Raw genomic sequence first — 6,977 nt, forward strand, 5'->3', positions numbered from 1 at the left:
ATTGGTAACTTGATGCGGATGGCATTGAATCTATAAATTACCTTGGGCAGTATGGCCATTTTCACGATATTGATTCTTCCAACCCATGAGCATGGAATGTTCTTCCACTTGTTTGTATCCTCTTTTATTTCCTTGAGCAGTGGTTTGTAGTTCTCCTTGAAGAGGTCCTTCACATCCCTTGTAAGTTGGATTTCTATTTATTTTATTCTCTTTGAAGCAATTGTGAATGGGATTTCACTCATGATTTGGCTCTCTGTGTGTCTCCTATTGGTGTACAAGAATGCTTGTGATTTTTTTACATTGATTTTGTGTCCTGAGACTTTGCTGAAGTTGCTTATCAGCTTAAGCAGATTTTCGGCTGAGACAATGGGGTTTTCTAGATATACAATCATGTCATCTGCAAACAGGGACAATTTGACTTCCTCTTTTCCTAATTGAATGCCCTTTATTCACTTCTCCTACCTGATTGCCCTGGCCAGAACTTCCAACACTATATTGAATAGGAGTGGTGAGAGTGGGCATCCCTGTCTTTTGCCAGTTTTCAAAGGGAATACAAAAGGACAAAAAACCAAACAACATGTGTTCTCACTCATAGGTGGAAATTGAACAATGAGAACACATGGACAAAGGAAGGGAAACATCACACTCTGGGGACTGTTGTGGGGTGGGGGGAGGGGGAAGGGACAGAATTATGACATATACCTAACGCTAAATGGCGAGTTAATGGGTGCAGCACACCAAGACGGCACATGGATAAATATGTGACGAACCTGCACATTGTGCACATGTACCCTAAAACTTAAAGAATAATAATAACAATAATAAAAAAAAGAGAAAGCCAAAAAAAATAAAAAACAGAAAAAAAAACGGTGTTTCAAAACTGGTCAATCGAAAGTAAGGTTCAACTCTCTGAGAAGAATGCACACATCACAAAGAAGTTTGTCAGAATGCTTCTGTCTAGTTTTTATGTGAAGATAGTTCCTTTTCCACCAGAGGCCTCAAAGTGCTCCAAATGTACACTTGCAGACAGTACAAAAAGGGTGTTTCAAAACAGCTCAATCAAAAGTAAAGTTAAACTCTGTGAGATGAATGCACATATCACAAAGAAGTTTGTTAGAATGCTTCTGTCTAGTTTTTATGTGAAGGTATTTCCTTTTTTACCATAGGCCACAAAGCGCTCCAAATGTCCACTTGGAGATTCTACAAAAGGAGTGTTTCCAAACTAGAAAATCAAAAGAAAGTTTCAACTCTGTGAGATGAATGCACTCGTCACAAAGAAGTTTCTCAGAATACTTCTGCGTAGTTAATACATGAAGATATTTCATTTTCCATTACACTCCTCAAAGCGCTCCAAATGTCCACTTGCAGATTCTACAAAAAAAGTGTTTCAAAGCTGCTCAATCAAAAGAAAGGTTCATCTCTGCGAGACAAATGCACACATCACAAAGAAGTTTGTCAGAATTCTTCAGCCTAGTTTTTATGTGAAGATATTTCTTTTCCACCATACGCCACAAGGCTCTCCAAATGTCCACTTGCATATTCTACAAAAAGATTGTTTCAAAACTGCCCAATCAAAAGAAAGGTTCAACTCTGTGAGAAGAATGCACACATCACAAAGAAGTTTCTCAGAATGTTTCTGTCTACTTCTTATATGAAGATATTTCCTTTTCCACCATAGGCCTCAAAGTGATCCAAATGTCCACTTGCAGATCCTTCAAAAAGATTTTCCAAACTAGTCAATCAAAAGAAAGTTTCAACTCTGTGAGATGAATGCACACATAAAAAAGACATTTCCGAGAATCCTTCTGTCTAGTTTTTATGTAAAGATATATACTTTTACACCATAGGCATCAACGCACTCCAAATGTCCACTTGTAGATAGTTCAAAAAGGATGTTTCAAATCTGCTCAATCAACAGTAAGGTTCAACTCTGTCAGATGAATGCACACATCACAAAGTATTTTCTCAGAATGATTCTTTGCAGTTCTTAAGTGAAGATATTTCCTTTTCCACCAGGGGCCTCAGAGCCCTCCAAATGTCCACTTGCAGATAGTACAAAAAGAGTGTTTCCAAACTGTTCAATCAAAAGAAAGGTTCAAACCTTTGAGATGAATATACACATCATGAAGAAGTTTCTCAGAATGTTTCTGTCCATGTTTTATGAGAAGATATTTCCTTTTCCACCATAGGCCTCAAAGGGCACCAAGTGTCCACTTGTAGATTCTACAAAAAGAGTGTTTCAAAACTGCTCATTGAAAAGAAATATTCAACTCTGTGAGATGAATGCACACATCACAAAGAAGTTTCTCAGGATATTCTGTCTAGTTCTTAAGTGAAGATATTTCCTTTTCCACCATAGGCCTCAAAGTGCTCCAAATGTCCACTTGCAGATTGTACAAAAACAGTGTTTCAAAACTGCTCAATGGAAAGAAAGGTTCAATTCTGTGAGATGAATGCAAACAACACAAAGAAGTTTGTCAGCATGCTTCTGTCTAGTTTTTATGTGAAGACATTTCCTTTACCACCATATGCCGCAAAGTACTCCAAATGTCCCTTTGCAGATTCTACAAAAGGAGTGTTTCAAACTGCTCAATCAAAAGAAAGTTCAACTCTGTGAGATGCATGCACACATCCCAAAGAAATTTCCCAGAATACTTCTGTGTAGTTTTTCTGTGAAGATATTTCCTTTTCCACCGTAGGCCTCAAAGAATTCCAAATGTCCACTTGCAGATTCTACCAAAAGAGTATTTCAAAATAGATTAATGAAAAGAAATTTTCAACTCTGTGACATGAAAGCACGGATCCCAAAGAAGTTTGTGACAATGCTTCTGTATAGTTTTTATGTGAAGATATTTCCTTTTCCGCCATAGGCCTCAAAGCGCTCCTGATGTCCACTTGCAGATTCTACAAAAAGAGTGTTTCAAAGCTGCTCTATCAAAAGAAAGTTTCAACTCTGTGAGATGAATGCACACATCACAAAGAAGTTGCTCAGAAAGCTTCTGTCTAGTTTTTATGTGAAGATATTTCCTTTTCACCACAGGCCTCAAAGCACTCCAAATGTCCACTTGCAGATCAACAAAAAGAGAGTTTCCAAATTATTCAATCAAAAGAAAGGTTCAGCTCCGTGAGATGAATGCACACATCACAAAGAAGTTTGTCAGAATGCTTCTGTCTAGTTTTAACTTGAAGATATTTCCTTTTCCACCATAGGCCTGAAAGCATTCCAAATGTCCACTTGCTGATACTACAAAAAGGGTGTTTTAAAATTGCTCAATCAAAAGTAAGGTTCAACTCCGTGGGATGAATGCACATATCACAAAGTAGTTTGACAGAATGCTTCTGTCTAGTTTTTATGTGAAGATATTTCCTTTTCCAAAATAGACCTCAAAGCGCTCCAAATATCCACTTGCAGATTCTTCAAAAAGAGTGTTTCAATACTGCTCAATCAAAAGAAAGGTTCAACTCTGTAAGATGAATGCACACATCACAAAGAAGTTTCTCAGAATGCTTCTGTCTAGTTATTATATGAAGATATTTCTTTTTCCAATATAGGCCTCCAAGCACTCCAAATATCCACTTACAGATTCAGCAAAAAGAGAGTTTCCAAACTACTCAATCAAAAGAAAGGTTCAGCTCTGTGAGATGAATGCACACATCACAAAGAAAGTTGTCAGAATGCTTCTGTCTAGTTTTTATATGAAGATATTCCTTTTCCACCATAGGCCTCAAAGCACTCCAAATGTCCACTTGCAGATAGTACAAAAAGGGTGTTTCAAAAATGCTCAATCAAAAGTAAGGTTCAACTCCGTGATATGAATGCACATATCACAAAGTATTTTGACAGAATGCTTCTGTCTAGTTTTTGTGTGAAGATATTTCCTTTTCGACAATAGACCTCAAAGAGCACCAAATGTTCACTTGCAGAATCTACAAAAAGAGTGTTTCCAAACTTCTGAATCAAAAGAAAGGTTCAACTCTGTGAGATGAATGCACAGATCACAAACAAGTTTCTCAGAATGCTTCTGTCTAGTTTTTATGTTAAGATATTTCCTTTTCCATCATAGGCCTCAAAGCTCTCCAAATATCCACTTGCCGATTCTACAAAAAGAGTGTTTCAAAACTGCTCAATTAAAAGGAAGGTTCAATTCTGTGACTTGAATACACCCATCACAAAGAAACTTGTCAGAATGTTTCTGTATAGTTTTTATGTGAAGATATTTCCTTTTCCACCATAGGTCTCAAAGCACTCCAAATATCCACTTGCACGTTCTACAAAAAGAGTGTCTCAAAGCTGCTCAATCAAAAGAAATGTTCAACTCTCTGAGATGAATGCACTCATCACAAAGTAGTTTCACAGAATGCTTCTGTCTAGTTATTAAGTGAAGATATTGCGTTATTGACCATCACCCTCAAAGTACTCCAAATGTCCACTTACAGATTCTACAAAAAGAGTGTTTCAAAGCTGCTTAATCAAAAGAAATGTTCAACTATGTGAGATGAATGCACACATCAGAAAGAATTTTCTAAGAAGGATTCTGTCTAGTTTTTATGGGAAGTTACTTCCTTTTCCACCATAGGCTTCAAAGCCCTCCAAATGTCCATTGCAGATTCTACAAAAAGAGTGTTTCAAAACTGCTCAATGAAAAGAAATGTTCAACTCTGTGAGATGAATGCACACATCACAAAGAAGTTTCACAGAATGCTTCTGTATAGTTTTTATGTGAAGATATTTCCTTTTCCACCATAGGACACAAAGAGCTCAAAATGTTCACTTGCAGAGTCTAAAAAAGAGTTTTTCAAAGCTGCTCAATCAAAAGTATGGTTCAACTCTGTAAGATAAATGCACACAACCCAAAGAAGTTTCTCAGAATGCTTCCGCCTAGTTGTTAAGTGAAGATATTTCCTTCTCCACCATATGCCTCAAAGCGCACCAAATGTCCACTTGTGGATTCTACAAAAAGAGTGTGTCAAAACTGCTCAATCAAAAGAAAGTTTCAACTCTGTGAGATGAATACACATATCACAAAAATCTTTCTCAGAATGCTTCTGTTTAATTATAATATGAAAATATTTCCTTTTCCACCTTAGGCCTCAAAGCTCTCCAAATGTCCACTTGCAGAACCTTTTCCACCATAGGCCTCAAAGCTCTTCAAATATCCACTTGCAGATTCTGCAAAAAGAATATTTGAAAGCAGCTAAATCAAAAGAAATGTTCAACACTGTGAGATGAATGCACACATCACAAAGGAGCTTCTCAAAATACCTCTGTCTAGTTTTTATGTGAAGATATTTCCTTTTCCACCATAGGCTGCCAAGCGTTAAAAATATCCACTTGCAGATTCTACAAAAAGAGTGTTTCAAAACTGCTCAATTGAAAGTAGGTTTGAACTCTGTGAGATGAATGCACACATCACAAAGAAGTTTGTCGGAATGATTCCGTCTAGTTTTTATGTGAAGATATTTCCTTTTCAACCTTAGGCCACAAAGCGCACTAAATGTCCACTTGCAGATTCTGCAAAAAGAGTGTTTCAAAACTGCTCAATGAAAAGAAAGGTTCAACTCTGTGAGATGAATGCACACATCACAAAGAAGTTTCAGAGAATGCTTCTGTGTAGTTTTTATGTGAAGATATTTCCTTTTCCACCATAGGCTGCAAAGAGCTCAAAATGTCCACCTGCAGATTCTACAAAAAGAGGGTTTCAAAACTGCTCAATCAAAAGTAAAGTGCAACTCTGTGAGATTAATGCACACATCAAAAAGAAGTTTCTCACAGTGCTTCTGTCTAGTTGTTATGTGAAGATATTTCTTTTTCCACTACTGGCCTCAGAGCACTCCAAATATCCTTTTGCAGATTCTACAAAAAGAGTTTTTAAAAACTGCTCAATCAAAGGGAAGGTTCAACTCTGTGAGATGAATGCACATATCACACAGAAGTTTCCCAGAGTGCTTCTGTCTAGTTTTTATGTGAAAATATTTCCTTTTCCACCAGAAGACTCAAAGCACTCAAAATAACCACTGGCAGATTATACATAAAGAGAGTTTCAAAACTGCTCAATCTAAAGAAAGGTTCAACTCTGTGAGATGAATGCACACACCCCAAAGAAGTTTCTCAGAATGCTTCCGTCTAGTTTTTATGTGAAGGTATTTCCTTTTCCACCATAGGCCTCAAAGCCCTTCAAATATCCACTTGCAGATTCTGCAAAAAGAATATTTGAAAGCAGCTAAATCAAAAGAAATGTCCAACACTGTGAGATGAATGCACACATCACAAAGGAGCTTCTCAAAATACCTCTGTCTAGTTTTTATGTGAAGATATTTCCTTTTCCACCATAGGCTGCCAAGCGTTAAAAATATCCACTTGCAGATTCTACAAAAAGAGTGCTTCAAAACTGCTCAATTGAAAGTAGTTTGGAACTCTGTGAGATGAATGCACACATCACAAAGAAGTTTGTCGCAATGATTCCGTCTAGTTTTTATGTGAAGATATTTCCTTTTCAACCTTAGGCCACAAAGCGAACTAAATGTCCACTTGCAGATTCTACAAAAAGAGTGTTTCAAAACTGCTCAATGAAAAGAAAGGTTCAACTCTGTGAGATGAATGCACACATCACAAAGAAGTTTCAGAGAATGCTTCTGTGTAGTTTTTATGTGAAGATATTTCCTTTTCCACCATAGGCCGCAAAGAGCTCCAAATGTCCACTTGCAGATTCTACAAAAAGAGGGTTTCAAAACTGCTCAATCAAAAGTAAAGTTCAACTCTGTGAGATTAATGCACACATCAAAAAGAAGTTTCTCACAATGCTTCCGTCTAGTTGTTATGTGAAGATATTTCTTTTTCCCTACTGGCCTCAGAGCACTCCAAGTATCCTTTTGCAGATTCTACAAAAAGAGTTTTTAAAAACTGCTCAATCAAAGGAGAGGTTCAACTCTGTGAGATGAATACACATATCACACAGAAGTTTCTCAGAATGCTTCTG

At 37.1% G+C, this 6,977-nt stretch overlaps 1 annotated feature.

Moving 5' to 3' along the window:
- Nucleotides 3,212–3,713: an enhancer, noted in NCBI's record as "NANOG hESC enhancer chr15:20038117-20038618 (GRCh37/hg19 assembly coordinates)". NCBI's record gives its function as "activates a minimal SCP1, AML or CMV promoter by ChIP-STARR-seq in naive H9 embryonic stem cells {active_cell/tissue: H9 hESC(naive)}" and the evidence as "EXISTENCE:reporter gene assay evidence [ECO:0000049][PMID:30033119]".

The sequence above is a fragment of the Homo sapiens genome, chromosome 15 (genome assembly GCF_000001405.40).
Source record: "Homo sapiens chromosome 15, GRCh38.p14 Primary Assembly".
Lineage (NCBI taxonomy): Eukaryota > Metazoa > Chordata > Mammalia > Primates > Hominidae > Homo > Homo sapiens.